This window comes from Homo sapiens, chromosome 2 (assembly GCF_000001405.40).
Source record: "Homo sapiens chromosome 2, GRCh38.p14 Primary Assembly".
NCBI classification, from domain to species: Eukaryota; Metazoa; Chordata; class Mammalia; order Primates; family Hominidae; genus Homo; species Homo sapiens.
Genome location: NC_000002.12, coordinates 120,193,492 through 120,210,179, shown reverse-complemented (window position 1 = coordinate 120,210,179; position 16,688 = coordinate 120,193,492).

Below are 16,688 nucleotides of genomic sequence, written 5' to 3'. Positions count from 1 at the left end.
TCCATCATGTCTCTTGTCCCCTCCCAGCCCTGTCATAGGCCTGCCCTCTTGGACGTGTAGCTGCCTTCCTTCTTCTCTCCACACCAAGCCTCCTACACTGGCCCCCTCTTGACCTAGGCAGCAGAGCTGAAATATGACTGGCCACTCATGCATGGCAGAAGTCCCATCCCTCACGGCCATGCTGGCATTTTGACCTGGCCCTTTCAGGCTTTAACCCAGTGCCGGCAGTAGTGTGGGAAGTTCAGACTCGTTCACCAGCCTGAGACCCTCCCAGGCCAGCCCCCTACACACTCCGTAAGCAGTAACCAGTGAGAACAGGCCAGGGTTCCAGGCCAGTGTGACACATCCAGCCAGGGCTGCCCCTCAGCACCCAAACCCCCACCACCCAGCTGCCCGCCACTCCCGCCACCCCATCTCCCACTCTGCAGCCTGTTCAGTGACAGGACTCCCTGGTTGGGGCCCTTGCTGTCTTGAACATCACTTAAGGCTCCTTGCTGTACTCAAGGCCTGCCCTGCTCTCCTCTGGGTTCCAGCTGGGCTCAGCCTCACATCCAGTCCTTGTTCCCTGCCCACTTCTTATCCCCTTGGATGGGACACCTGAACCTGGCCTCCCAGCTGACCCTGAGAACCAGACTGGACTCTGCTCTAGCCCAGGGGTGCATGCTATGACCCACAGGGGCTCTGAAAGTGTTAACCACACTCTCAATAGCTGAGGGATCAGCTGGGGCCACCTAGACCCAAGTCTCAGCCTCGGGAGGCCAGACAGGGCCAGGGTGTCTGGTCTAGCATAGTCCCTGATGGCTACCATCCTCCCAACAGGCATCAGGCAGAAGCCATTAGTGGGAAGGAGGGCCTTGCCTGGGAGGTCCCTGGAGAACTGTTTGAGGGCCATTGGCAGAATTTAGCACAAGCTGAGACATTTCATGCAGGCCACCCAGGGGTCCATGGCTGGCCTGTCCAGAAAGGAAAAAGGTACAGGTGCGGCCCTCAGGAGGGCAGCCAGGCCTGTGAGCCTCCAGTGATACAAGTACTGGAGGGATATCCAGTGATACAAGTATGGGAGGGACCACCTGGAACCAAGCAGGACCTGTGGACAGCTGCCCCAGGGAGGAGGAAGAGGTAGTGCTTGAGTGTGAGGTGAGCTTGGTGCAGAAATGGGGTGTCGCAGCATGGGCAGGCCCAGGACAGTAGAGATGGACGATGAACGCATCAGTCAGGGTACCTTTGGAGATCACTGACAGTGACTTAAACAATAAGGAACGTTACAAGAAATCCAGAGGCAGAGTGGCCAGTGAGCAGGGTCCCTTGTTCAACAATTCACCAGGGGTCTCAGTGCTGTCTCCCACCTCTCTGTCGTGTCACCCTCATCCTCAGTTGTTGGTGATAGCTGCCCAAGTCACCTGACACAGCTGCAGGTGTCCCCTACAGATGAGGGGATGGCCAGTAGAAGGGAACAGTTTACCCAAGCATCTCCTTTAATCAGGGAGGAAAACCCTCCGCAGAACCCCTGGGGACTCTTCCTTTATTCCCCTAGGTTGAGGTCAGGGCTCAGACAAATCCTGGCAAACGGGGTGCAGCCGCCACAAGGGTGCAGGCCTGCCATGGTTCCCACCTGACGGTGTGGAAGATGAGCTCCCAAGCTGAGGGCTTCCATGCATGGCAGGGGAAGAGTGGGGACTGCCAAAAAAAAAAAAAAAAAAAAAAAAAAGGAAAAGAACCTAAATGCCCAGGAATTGGGGATTAGTTAAATATATTATACATACATATGCTGGAATTTTTTGTTTGTTTGTTTTTGAGTCAGGGTCTTGCTCTGTCACCCAGGCTGGAGTGCAGTGGCACAGTTATAGCTTACTGCAGCCTGGAACCTCCTGGGCTCATGATCCTCCCACCTAAGCCTTCCAAGTAGCTGGGTCTACAGGCATGTGCCATCATGCCTGACTAATTTTTGTCTTTCTGGTAGAGACGAGGTCTCTATGTTGTCCAGGCTGGTCTTGAACTCCCAGGCTCAAGTGATCCTCCCACCTCAGCCTACTGAGTAGCTGGGACTTTACCACTATACCCAGTTAAATTTTTATTTTTCATTTTTTGTAGAGACAGGGTCTTGCTTTGTTGCACAGGCTGGTCTCAAACTCAAGTGATCCTTCTGCCTTGGCCTCCCAAAGCATTGGAATTACAGGTGTGAGCCACCGTGCCCTGCCTAGGCAGTCTTTTAAAAAGATGTTTTACACAGAATTTGGTAAATTCTTTGAATATTGAATATTGAGTAAATTCTTTGAATACTGAGTCCAAGAAAACTCAATATTATACTAAGTGGAGCTGGGGGAGGCAAGACAGGGGCTAAGAGGGAAATGCGGCCTGAAACACTCTGTTAAGGTGTGTGGGAAAGAGAAGTCTGGAAGAAAATAAGCCAAAGTGACACCGGTGCTTTATTTTTCGACTTTTCTGTATTGAACCATTTTTCTACAATGAGCATGTCTAACTTTTATATTCAGGAGGGTAATTTCTAAGACTGCTCCAGGGCCAGTGAGCACACAGAGGAAGAAGGTCTGAGCCACGTGTGTGGCGGATCTAATAAGGTGGAGGGGGCAGGGTAGGAAGAATGAGGAATTTAGCACAAGCTGAGACTGAGATGTGACCCAGGTGCTGAGGCGGGGGACAATTCAGGAGCACTTCCTGGTGGGGAGGCAAAGGGGCCTCCAGAGGGACCACCTCCAGGAGGACAGAGGGCAGCAGCAGCCCCGCCCCAGGCCCCCGGGCCCTCGGTCCTTGCCTCAGGCTTCCCCTTCCGCTCACAGCAGGGCTTTCCTCTCCCCCTGCACTGCGCCTAACACAGCCAGCCCCCCTGGTGACAGCCTGCATTCATTTTTTTTTTTTATTCTTTTGTATTAATTTTCAGTAGAGACGGGATCTTCCTATGTTGCCCAGGCTAGTCTTGAACTCCCAGGCTCAAGTGATCCTCCCACCTCGGCCTCCCAAAGTGCTGGGATTACAGGCATGAGCCACTACGCCTGGTCACAGCCCACATTCAATAGCTGAAAGGGGGTCTCCCCATAGGCCCTATTACTTCCTGTGTGGTGTCACCTGGAACCTGAGCCCACCCTGAGCAGCCTCAGATTCTTACAAGCCCTGTGGGCAGTGGCCCCCTGCCCCAACAAAGACTGCTCCCAGGTCCAGCCATGGGGCTTGTTTCGGCTCTGGAGGAAGTGGCTGCCATGGTTGTCAGCACTTTCAGAGTGAGAGAATCTAGGGTGTACGGTTCTCTGGTGCAGACTGGCTGTTCCCCTCCATTCACTCTGGCACTTTGAAATCACACAGATGTGGCTATCAGAATGCACTGGCACCATCCTAGAGCCAGAGCCAGAACACACCTTGACAGCAAAGGTCCCGGGAAAAAGAGCTCTCTGCTCAGGGGATGAGGCCTGGGTTTAAATACCCACAGGGGAGCTGTGCGACCCAGGACAGGCCACTGACCTCTCCCAGGGTCATCTTTGGGGGGTGAACTTTGTGAAATCACCAGCGTGGTCACCATTGTGAGCAAAGACGGCCTGAGACACAGAGGAGCCAGGCTGAACTCCAGTGTTCCTGAGTGGGGCTGGAGTACCCCAAGGGTTTCCCACCAAGCTCCCCCTGCCAGCCTTACAGGCATCCCCTGCAGCTGTGCCCGCCCTCAGCGTGCAGCCACGCTGGTGGTCCATGATGCCGTGGGTCAGAGCATCCCTGCACTTGCTCACAGGCGCCCCCAAGTGGCTTGCCCTGGGTGGGCCACAGACATCACTGGGTTTCTCATGCTCTCCTCCCCGAGCCTGAGTGTCAGCTGGGCCCTGCCTGTTTATAACCCCACTGTGCCTGGTGCCTGGTAGGTGATCAACAAATGATTCCTAAGCAAGGGAAGCAAGCACTGGGTGTGGGCCCCCAGGTGACTCACTGATAGACACACCCCCAACCCCTGGCTGCTAGGACAAGGGACAGAGGCACAAGCCAAAGGCAGTTCACCCAGGGAGGGATACAGTGTGTTGGTCTCCTGTAGCGGCCACAGCAATACCATAAACTGGGTGACTGAACACAGGTTTGTTCTCCCACAGTTCTGGAGGGTAAAAGTCCAATATCAAGGTGTCAGCAAGGCCCTGCTTCCTTGTCAGGCCCTGGACGAGGATCCTCTCCCACTCTCTCCTCGTTTGTGGTGGCTTCTGGCAATCCTTGTCATTCTTGCCTTGTGGCTGCAACACTCCAATCTCTGCCTCCATCCTCACATGGCCTTCTCCCCCCATATGTCTGCATTTGTGTCCAAATCTTCCTCCTATAAAGACACCAGTCTCTAAAGTAGGGCCCAAACGAATCCAGTATGACCTCATTTTACCTTGATTATATCAATAAAGACCCCATTTCCAAACAAGGTTACAAATGTAAGTATCAGGGGCTGGACTTGGATACATCTTTTGTTGGGGGTGGGGAGGGAACACAATTCAACCCCAGCAATAAGGGTCACAGGGCAGCTGCCCTAGAACCTGCCCACTATCAGCCCTACCTTAGCCCAGTATGAGCGGGCCTAAATCCAAAGCAGGAGGATTCCTGCCAGCCTGAGGACACTTTCTCAGCCACTGGAACAGCCACTGCCCTCCAGGGTCATCTGGGAGCCTCCCTGCTGCCTCTCAGGACTTCTCTCCCAGACTTCGGGGCAGGGTGACCAGGGTCCTTCTGCTACCAAGAATCCCTCATGGCAGTGTGGGGTCACAGAGCGCTGAGCGGGAGGCTTGCCTGACAGAGGAATGCACAGCTGACCCAGAAACCCCCCGACTGGTCCCTTCCCCGAGAGTCAGTGACTGACGGCAGCGTGTCCACAGAAGCTCTGGAAGCACCAGAATGGAAAAACGCCATCACATACATCCCCAGCACCACTCGGTGCCAGTGGCAGTGGGAGCTTCTGTTAGCAGAGGGAGGAGATGCCCTCTGAACTCTTCCTCCGTGGGGTTCTCAGCAGCCTCTCCCCTTTGTGAATGCTGGCAGCTTCCAGAATCTGGCCATGCCTTCAAGGACCAAGCTAAACTTGCAGTCCTCACCCTAGTCCATCTCTCTGTTTGGGGTTCTATGAAGGTCTGTAGCTGATGGTAAAATTCCTGCTCTTCCTTCAAGTCTTAGTTACAGTGCCACCTCCTTCAGGAGGCTTTCCTTGACACCTCCAATCTCATGGGGATGGATGGGTGGCGGGGGAGTCCCTGGCTTCCATGTCATAGCCCTTACCCTGCGGCCTCAGCACGGTCTGTTTCTACGTCTGATTCCATCACAGGACTGTGACTTCCTTGAGGGTTGGGCTGCGCTGGTTTTCCCTGGGTCCCTGATAGGCCTGGCATATTGTAAATGTAAGAAAAAAATGGATGGGTGAATGAGTGTGTCTGCCCATCCTCCTGAGCCAGCTTCTGGATTGTCCAAAGGGGATAAAGGTGGAGACTCTGGAGCATAGAGAAGGGAAGTTGGTGGCCAGCCGCGGCATGGGTGCAGTGAGAAGCACCCGGAAGCCCCTTGGCAGAGAAGTTGGGCTGGGCAGCCACAGCAGGGCAGCTGCTGGGAGTGGCAGTAGAAGGGCAAAGTTTCCAAGGCCACAGAGATAGACAAAGGCCAGCCAGAGCCACTGTGCTTGCTGGACCATGGACACATACATGCTGGGCACAACCAGGGGACCTCATCCCATGGCTGGGGTCAGAGGGTGCAGAGCTGTAGCCAGCATGGCTCTGGACCCTGGGGCTCACTGCTTCTACCCCCAAGAGGCCAGCCAGAAATAGAAAGCTCTGCTCCACACCCACAGCAGACAAAGCCCAGTGCCTTCTTGGCATGGCCCAGACCTTCCCTCTCCCTGGACAGTGCAGTCTCTGCCAGAGGGACATACACCTTTTCAGCCAGAGGGAGCTGTGGCTGGGGCCATGAGCGGAGCTGGCCCTCTGACCAGCAGGAGCCTGGCCTGGACAGCACAACCCAGTCCTCCAGAACGTGTCACCCACCTGTTAGCCATGGCTGAGAACTCCTGGGCTCTCCAGCCCAGGGTGGCCTGAGGCTCCTTAGCTCCCCCAGCGGCAGGTCCTGGCTGCCCTCAAGCCCTGGGGCTACATCTTTGCCTTCCACCCTCTCTAGAGCAGACACAAACTGTCACCCTCGCAGGCCGAGCACCTTCGTTTCCCAGTGGCCCTCTCATCCCAGAAGTACCAGGAGGCTGGAATCATGGAACCTTGGCTCAGTGCAGTGGTGTGGGGACCTGGACCAACTGCAGCAGCCCCTCCTCACCCCAGTGCTACCCCAGGGGGACTTACTGTACCCTCTTTGGGCTCACAGGCCGTCCTGATGTGTTTTTATGTGACAGGATGGGCTCAGTTCAAAAGCACAAGCAAAGCATGGGAAAGTGATGGCTGGGACCTGGAAAGGGAGGGAAAGGCTGTGTGTTCCCCACCACACAAGCCCAGGCAGGAAGTCCTGCTGCTGCCTGTGACTTGGAGGGGCTGGACTGACTTCCTGGTCACTGAGGCAAGTTCAGGACAGAGACCCTTGGCTAACCTCAGTCTTTCCCACTTCAGCCAGGGGAGGCGGGTCAGTGCCTGCAGTGGAGGGCTGAGCAGCGGCACTCCTGGAGGCTTCCTGCAGCCTAGAGAAACAAGGTGCCCCAGAGCCACTCAGCCCTGTCCAGGTGCCCGGGTCCCTGTAATGATCCATGACGTGCACGCTAGGAAGTTACATAATTGCACTTCATCCGCGGGGTGCCCTATAGGTCCTCTTTCTGGAACACTCTTCAGTCTTTACCATAATCACTTGTGCAATTTCTGACTTCCCCCAAAGTCACTCTGGGAATGCAGGGACTGCTTGCTGCTTTGGAAAGACTGAGTATTGGGTGAAAATTCATTTCTTTTTCACGAGTTCAGAAAGGACTTGAAGTTTCTGCCAGAATTGTTTCTGCCCCTCCCCTTCTAACTGTGCTTTTCTGACTGCAGTATGGATTTCTCGGTTTGGAGATTTTTTTTCACGTGGTCTTGAAGCAATCCATTATTTTAGCTGCTTCAGTTAATTTAGTATTCCTTGAGTTTCTTTTTTTCCCCTAAGAGTTTTCAAATAAGTATATAACTCAGCCACATCAACACTTTTTTTTTTTTTTGACGGAGTCTCGCTCTGTTGCCCAGGCTGGAAGTGCAGTGGTGCGATCTCGGCTCACTGCAAGCTCCACCTCCTGGGTTCACGCCATTCTCCTGCCTCAGTCTCCTGAGTAGCTGGGACTACAGGCGCCCACCACCACGCTCGGCTAATTTTGTTTGTATTTTTTGTAGAGATGGGGTTTCACTGTGTTAGCCAGGATGGTCTCAATCTCCTGACCTCATGATCCGCCCGCCTTGGCCTCCCAAAGTGCTGGGATTACAGGCATGAGCCACTGCGCCCAGCCTACACATATTTTTTTAAAACTGCTTTTGGTTCATTTTCTAGGTCATCTCTCCTTCGATACATCTAAACCCAAGCTCCTACCTCCTAGCCATTCCTTCTGGGGCGTAAGCTTGCTCATTCTTCCTCTCCATTCTTTGGCCTTGCCAGAGGGCAGTGCCAGGCTTCCCTGAAGAAAGAACTTGGCCTCCAAAGCATCTTCTAATGTTGTCTACACTTGCTTTTTTTTTTTTTTTTTGAGACAGAGTCTTACTCTGTTGCCCAGGCTAGAGTGCAGTGGTGTGACCTCGGCTCATGGCAACCTCTGCCTCCTGGGTTCAAGCAATTCTCCTGCCTCAGCCTCCCGAGTAGCTGGGACTACAGGGATGCACCACCACGCCCAGCTAATTTTTGTATTTTTAGTGGAGACGGGGTTTCACCCTGTTGGCCAGGCTGGTCTTGAACTCCTGACCTCAGGTGGTCTGCCCATCTCAGCCTCTCAAAGTGCACTTGCTCTTTCTTTTGATGGATTTTGAAGGTTGCTTTGGTTGCAGCTACTTGAAATAGGAGGTTTTCATTCATCTTCTTGATCTGGTAAGGTCAGACATCAGACCAATTTGTCTAAACATTTAGATTTCTCATCTTTCAGGTTTTTTTCTAAATTATCTATTTTAAGCTTAAGGAAAGAGTTGGACTTTTTGAGTTCTTTATTTTTATTTATTTTTTTGAGTCGGAGTTTCGCTCTGTCACCAGACTGGAGTGCAGTGGCGTGATCTCAGCTCACTGCAACCTCCGCCTCCTGAGTTCAAGCGATTCTCCTGCCTCAGCCTCTCCCCAACAGGAGAGACCATGTCTCAGCCTCCCATGTAGCTAAGACTACAGGCATGTGCCACCACGCCTGGCTAGTTTTATTTATATTTTTAGTAGACACAGGGTTTCACCATGTTGGCCAGGATGGTCTCGATCTCTTGACCTCGTGATCCGCCCACCTTGGCCTCCCAAAGTGCTGGGATTACAGGCGTGAGCTACCGCCCCCGGCCGAGCTCTTTATTAATTGCCTCCAACACTTCCTTTTTTTTTAAATAAGAAAATCATCTCATGAAACTGTAAAGCCCAGATAGGACTGACTTCATAGCAGTCCGCTGGTCCAGTAGCATTTTTTTGTTTTTGTTTTTCATAGGATCTTGCTCTGTCGCTCAGGCTGGAGTGCAGCAATGTGATCATGGCTCACTGCAGCCTCAACCTCCTAGGCTGAAGCAATTCCCCTACCTCAGTATCCCAAGTAGCTGGGACCACAGGTGCATGCCACCATGCCCAGCTAATGCTTTTGATTTTTAGTAGACACAGGTCTCACCATGTTTCCTAGGCTGTCCAGTAGCTCCATGACATCCTCAGGTACCCACATCTATCTGTCTGTGGCCCCCTGTTGGCTTAATTCTCAGTCTGTTCACAAGATGGCTGCAGCAGTTCCAGAGACCAGGTCCAGAGAAACAGGAGAGACCACGTCTCATCCATCAGCTCTCACTAGGAATGAGGAAATGTTCCCCCGAAGCCCTTAGCCAGTTTCTCCCATCTCACTGGCCTCAACTGGGTCACATACCATTGTAAGCGTGCTTGTGTGTGTGTATTTTTTTTTTTTTTTTTGAGATGGAGTCTCATTCTGTCATCCAGACTGGAGTGCAATGGCATGATCTTGGCTCATTGCAACCTCTGCCTCTGGGGTTCAAGCAATTCTTCTGCCTCAGCCTCCCGTGTAGCTGGAAATACAGGTGAGCACCACCACACCCAGCTAATTTTTTGTATTTTTAGTAGAGACGGGGTTTCACCCTGTTGGCCAGGCTGGTCTCGAACTCCTGACCTCAGGTGATCCAACCGCCTCAGCCTCCCAAAGTGCTGGGATTACAGGCATGAGCCACCGTGCCTGGCCGAGTAGTTTTATATATACACACTCATGTATATATGTATATGTGTGTATGTGTGTGTGTGTGTATATATATAATTATGAAATTTGCCATTTTAAGCATTTTAAGCGTATGATTCTGTGGCATTGATTCTATTCACATTGTTGTGCGACTATCAGCACTATCCACTTCTAAACCCTTTCATCATCCCACACAGAAACTGGGTTCCCATCAAACAACAACTTCCCATTCCCTTCCTTCCCCAACCCCTGGTAACCTCTATTCTACTTTCCATCGCTATGAATTTCACTATTCTAGATATTTCAGACACGTGGAATAATAGAGTATTTGTCATTTCGTATAAGGTTTATCACACTTAGCATAATGTCCTCAAGATTCACACACATTGTAGGATGTACATGTGGTATATCCATTGTATATTTATCCATCCATCCATTAATGGACATTTGGGTTGTTCTTACCTTTTGGTTATTATGAATAATGCTGCAGTGAACATTGACTTACAAGTATCTGTTTGAGTCCTTGTTTTAAACTCTAGTGAACATATGCTTTGGGGGAGGATTGCTGAATCATATGGAAATTCTATGTTTAGCTTTTTAGGGAACTGCCAAACTCTTTCCCACACTGGCTGCACCTGCACCATTTTACATTACTACCAGCAATGTATGAGGTTTCCCATTTCTCCATGTCTTCATCAACATTTTCCTTTTTTAAAATGTATAGCGGCTGGGCCTGGTGGCTCACGCCTATAATCCCAGCACTTTGGGAGGCCGAGGTGGGCGGATCATGAGGTCAGGAGATCGAGACCTCATGATGGCCAACATGGTAAAACCCGATCTCTACTAAAATTCAAAAAATTAGCTGGGCCTGGTGGCGCGTGCCTGTAATGCCAGCTATGTGGCAGGCTGAGGCAGGAGAGTCCCTTAAACCTGGGAGGCAGAGGTTGCAGTGAGCTGAGATCACGCCACTGCACTCCAGCCTGGCGACAGAGCAAGACTCCATCTCAAAAATAAAATAAAATAAAATAAATAAAATAAAATAAATAAAATAAAATGTATAGCTATCCTAGTAGATGATGCAGTTGTATTACTGTGGTTTTGACTTGTATTATCCTAATGATTAAGGATATTGACATCTTTTATGTGCTTATTGGCCATTTGCATATCTTCTTTAGAGAAATGTCTATTCAAGACCTTTGCCTGTGTTTTAATTGGATTGTTTATCTTTTTTTGTTGAGCGTTGTTCTTTATGTATTTTGGAGATTCATCTCTTATCAATTATATATTTTGCATATTTTATCCCATCTGTACTTTGTCTTTTAACTTTTCTTGGTAATGTCCGTTCATGTACAAAAGTTTTTAATTTTGATAAAGCCCAATTTTTCTTTGTTGGTGTTGCTCATGCTTTTGGTGTCATATGTAGGAACCCATTGCCAGCTCCAAGGACCTGATTTACCCCTATGCTTTCTTCCAGGTGTTTCAAGTTTAGTTCTTATATTTAGATTGTTGATCCATTGATCAATAATTCTATGAATATTTTATTTACATGATTTTATGAACCATGTAGGGGAGAGGCCAACCTCATTCTTTTTCAAGTGGAAATCCAGTTGTCACAGTACCACTTGTTGAAAAGATAGTTCTTTCACCATTTGGCACTCATGTCAAAAATCAGTCATAGACATATGAGCTTATTTCTGGACTCTCAGTTCCATTGGACCATATATCCTTATGCCAAACCTGTTTTGATTATTGTAGCTTTGTAGTAAGTTCTGACATTGGGAAGTGTGAGTCCGACTTTGTGCTGCCTTTACAGATTGTTTTGGCAACTTCAAGTTTGTGTGTGTGTGTGTGTGTGTGTGTGTGTGTGTTTTAATGCCTTGCGGGGATTTTTTTTTTTTAATGAATTTGAGGATCAGTTTTTCTATTTCTGCAAAAACGCTGTTGGTATTTGAGTAGGATTGCATTGACTCTGTAGATAGCATTGGGTAGTACTGACAACAATATCAAATCTTCCTATGACCATATGATGTCTTTCCATTTCATTAGGTCTTCTTTAATTTCTTTTAGCCATTTTTAAAATTTTTCACTGTGTAAGTTTTCATCTTCTTGGTTAAAGTCATCTTTTGGGTAAAATTTGTTTCTAGGTATTTTATTCTTTTAGATGGTATTATTAAGTACAATTATTTTCTAAATTTCATTTGCAGATTGTTCCTTGCAGATATATAGAACCACAATTGATTTTTGTGTGTTGATCTTGTACCCTTGAACTTTGATGAATTCATTTATTAGTGCTAGTGGCTTTCTTATAGATTCTTTGGGATTTTCTATATATGGGAGTTTTCATCTGCGAATTGAGTTTTACTTCTTCCTCTCCAATTTGGATGCCCTTCATTTCTTTTTCTTGTCTAATTGCTCTGGCAAGAACTTCCAGTACATCGTGGAATAGCAGTGGTAAAGTGCACATCTTTGTTTTGACCCTGATCTTAGAGAAAAATCTTTCAGTCTTTCACCATTGAGTATGATGTTAGCTCTAGGTATTTCATATATGGCTTTTGCCATGTTGAAGAAGTTTCCATATACTTCTCGTTTTCTGAGTGGGTTTTTTTGTTTGTTTGCTTGTTTGGTTGGTTGGTTGGTTTTTTGAGACACAGTCTCACTCTGTTGCCCAGGCTGGAGTGCAGTGTCGTGGTCTCAGATCACTGCAACTGCTACCTCCAAGTTCAAGGAATTCTCATGCCTCAGGCTCCCAAGAAGCTGGAATTACAGGCATGTGCCACCATGCATGGCTAATTTTTGTATTTTTAGTAGAGACGGGGTTTCACCATGTTGGCCAGGCCGGTCTCGAACTTCTGACCTCAAGTGATCTGCCCGCCTTGGCCTCCTAAAGTGCTGGGATTACAGGCATGAGCCACCGTGCCTGGACTTCTAAGTGTTTTTATCATGAAACAGTGTTAGCTTTTGTCAAAGGCCATTTCTGTGTCAATTGAGATGATTCTGTGATTTTTTTTTTCATTCTACTAATGTGATGTATTATTTTGATTAAGTTTCTGATGTTGAACCACCCTTGCATTCTTGGATAAATTCCACTTAGTCATTGTGTGTGATCATTTTAATATGCTGTTGGATTCAGTTTCTAATATTTCTTTTTTTTTTTTTTTTTGAGACAGAGTCTTGCTCTGTCACCCAGGCTGGAGTGCAATGGTGTGATCTCGGCTCACTGCAACCTCCGCCTCCTGGGTTTAAGCGATTCTCCTGCCTCAGCCTCCCAAGTAGCTGGGACTACAGGCGTGCGCCACCATGCCCGGCTAATTTTTGTATTTTTAGTAGGGACGGGATTTCACCGTGTTAGCCAAGATGGTCTCGATCTCTTGACCTCATGATCTGCCCGCCTTGGCCTCCCAAAGTGCTGGGATTACAGGCATGAGCCACCGTGCTCAGCTTCAGTTTGCTAATATTCATATGAGGATTTCTGTATCTATATTCTTAAGGGATATTGGTCTGTAATTTTCTTATGATTTTCTTTATCTGATTCTGGTATCAGGGCAATGTTGGCCTCATAGAATGAATTAGGAAGTATTCCCTCCTCTTCTATTTTTTTGGAAGATTTTAGAAGGACTGGTGTTAATTCTTCTTTAAATGTTTGATAGAATTCAGCAGTGACACCATCTGATCCTAGACTTTTCTTTGTTCTTTTCTTTATTGTTTCAATCTCCTATTAGTTATAGATCTATCCAGATTATCCAGGATTTTCTTCATGATACACTTTTGAGGAGTTGTGTGTTTCTAGGATTTTATCCATTTCATCTAGGTTATCCAGTTTGTTGGCATACAATTGTTCGTAGCATTCTCTTATAATCCTTTGTTTAATTAGGTTGGTAGTAATAGAACTGTTACTGTTCCCACTTTCATTTCTGATTTCAGTTATTTGTGTCTTCTCTCATTTTTACTAAGTCTAACTAAAGGTTTACCAATTTTGTTGATCTATTCAAAGAACCAATCTTTGGTTGTGTTGATTCCCTCTATTGTTTTCTTTTCTTTTTTTTTTTTTTTTTTTTTTGAGACGGATTCTTGCTCAGTCACCCAGGCTGGAGTGCAGTGGTGCGATCTAGGCTCACTGCAAGCTCCGCCTCCCGGGTTCACACCATTCTCCTGCCTCAACCTCCCAAGTAGCTGGGACTACAGGCACCCACCACCATGCCCAGCTAATTTTTTTGTATTTTTAGTAGAGATGGGGTTTCACCATGTTAGCCAGGATGGTCTTGATCTCCTGACCTTGTGATCCACCCATCTAGGCCTCCCAAAGTGCTGGGATTACAGGTGTGAACCACCACGCCCAGCTGGGTTTTCTATTCTCTTATTTATCTCTACTCTAATTCTCATTATTTCCTCCCTCCTGGTAGCTTTAAGTACAGTTTTTTCTTCTTTTCCTACTGCTTCAAGCTATAGAGTTAGGTTATTGATTTGAGATCTTTCTTCTTTTTAAATGTAGGCATTTACAGCTATATCTTTCCCTCAGCAATTCTAATTTCCCTTGTGATTTCTTCTTTGATGACTGGTTGATTTTAAAGTGTTTTAATTTCCACATATTTTTACATTTTCCAATTTTTCTTCTATTGATTTTAGCTTTATTAATTGTGGTCAGAGAAGATATTATTTCAGTATTTAAAAAGAATTTTAAGAGACAGCGTCTTGCTCCATCACCCAGACTGGAGTGCAGTGGCACAATCATAGCTCACTGCAGCCTCAAACTCCTGGGCTCAAGCAATCCTCCCACCTCAGTCTCCCAGGTAGCTGGGACTACATGCATGAATGCCTGGCTTGATTTAAATACTTTTAAATTTACTGAGAACTGTTTTTTTGCCTGTCACAGTCAGTTTGAATTGCTATAACAAAGGACCATAGACTGGGTGGCTTTTATGCAACAGAAATTTATTTCTCACAGTTTGGAGGCTAGAAATCTGAGCTCTAGGTACCAGCAAGATTGGATTCTGGTCATCTAAGTTGCAAACTGACTGCCAACTTCTCATTGTATCCTCACATGATGGAAAGAGGGCTAGCTATCTCTCTAGCTCTCTGGTCTCTTCTTATAAGGACACTTAATCCTATTTATGAGGGCTCCACCCTCATGACCTAATTACCTCCCAAAGGCCTCGCCTCCAAATGTCATCACACTGGGATTAAGCTTTCAACATATGAATTTGGGGGGAACATTCAGTCAACTGCATGGCCTACTATATGGTTTACCTTGGAGAATATTCCATGTGTACTTAAGAATGTGCATTCTGCTGCTGTTGAATGGAATGCTCTGTATATGTGTGTTAGGTCCTATTGGTCTATTTTGTTGTTCACATCCTCTATTTCCTTATTGCTATTCTGTCTAGATATTCTATTATTGAAAATAGAGTTTTTTGGGGTTTTTTTTTTTTTTTTTTGAGACAGTCTTGCTCTGTCACCCAGGCTGGAGTGCAATGGTGCGATCTCGGCTCACTGCAACCTCTGCTTCCCAGGTTCAAGCGTTTTTCCTGCCTCAGCCTCCTGAGTAGCTGGGATTAAGGCATGCGCACCACTCCCAGCTTATTTTTTGTATTTTTAGTAGAGACAGGGTTTCATCGTGTTGGCCAGGCTGGTTGTGAACTCCTGACCTCAGGTGATCCACCCACCTCAGCCGCTCAAAGTGCTGGGATTACAGGCATGAGCCAACATGCCCGGCCGAAAGTAGCGTTTTCTTATTGCTATTCTGTCCAGTTATTCTCCCTATTACTGAAAGTAGAGTATTGAAGTCTCCAATTATTATTGTAGAATTTTTTACTCCCGATTATTCTGTCAGTGTTGCTTCATATATTTGGGTGACCTCTTATTTGGGGCATATATGTTTATAATTGTTATACTAATACATTCTTAATGAATTAACCATTTTATTAATATATAATGTCTTTGTCTCTTGTAACAATTTGCATTTAAAGTCAATTTTTTTCTGGTATTAGTATAGCCACCCCTGCTCTCTTTTGGTTACTATTTGCATGAAATATCTTTTCCTATCATTTCAATTTCAGTCTATTTGTATTTTTGAATCTAAAGTGACTCTTTAGACAGTATATAGTTGAATCATTTTTTTTATCCATTCTGCCAATCTTCTTTTTGACTGGAAAGTTTAAGCTATTTAAAGTAATTATTGATAAGGAAAAACTTAATTCTGCCATTTTGCTATTTGGTTTTGTTATATCTTATACATTTTTTTGTCCTTCATTTCCTCCATTACTGCCTTCTTTTATGTTTGGTTGACTATTTGTAGTGAACCATGTGATTCCCTTCTCATTTACTTTTTTGTATAATTTTTAGATATTTTCTTTGTGATTAGCATGGGTATTACATTTGGCATCCTCAATTTATAACAGTCTATTTTAAATTAATACCAACCTAACTTTAATAGCATATAAAAACTTGGCTCCTGGAGAGCTCCATTCTGTCCTCCTTCATGATGCTGCTGTTGTCATCACAATTAACATGTTTATATATTGTGTGCTCAGTATTGATTTATAATTATTTTTATACATTTAAATTCTACAGGAAATAAAAAGTGGAATTACAAACTAATGTTATAATAATACCTACTTTTATATTTGCCCATATGTTTACCTTTACTGGAGATCTTTACTTCTTCATATGACTTTAAGCAACTGTCTGGCATCTTTCCTCCCTGTCCCCCGCTTTATTAAGGTATAATTAACGAATACAAATTTTGTATATTCACAGTGCACAATGTGATGTTTTAATATAGCATCTTTTCCTTTTAATCTGAAGGACTCCTTTTAGCATTTCTTGTAGGGCAAGGCTAGTGGTAACAAACTCCCTCTAATTTTATCTGGAAATGTCTTAACTTCTTCCTCATTTTTGAAGGACGGCTTTGATGGATATAGAATTCTTCTATATGGATGACAGTTTTTTTTTTTCTTTCAGCCCTTCAAATGTCATACTGCCATCTCTGGCCTCCATAGTTTCTGATGAGAAATTGGCCATAAATCTTATTCACATGTGTGTAATGGGTCACTTCTCTCTTGCTGCATTAAAGACTCTCCATTTGTCTTTTGCTTTTGGCAATTTGATTATTTTTATTTATTTATTATTATTATTATACTTTAAGTTTTAGGGTACATGTGCACAATGTGCAGGTTAGTTACATATGTATACATGTGCCATGCTGGTGCGCTGCACCCACTAACTCGTCATCTAGCATTAGGTATATCTCCCAATGCTATCCCTCCCCCCTCCCCCCACCCCACAACAGTCCCCAGAGTGTGATGTTCCCCTTCCTGTGTCCATGTGTTCTCATTATTCAATTCCCACCTATGAGTGAGAACATGCAGTGTTTGGTTTTTTT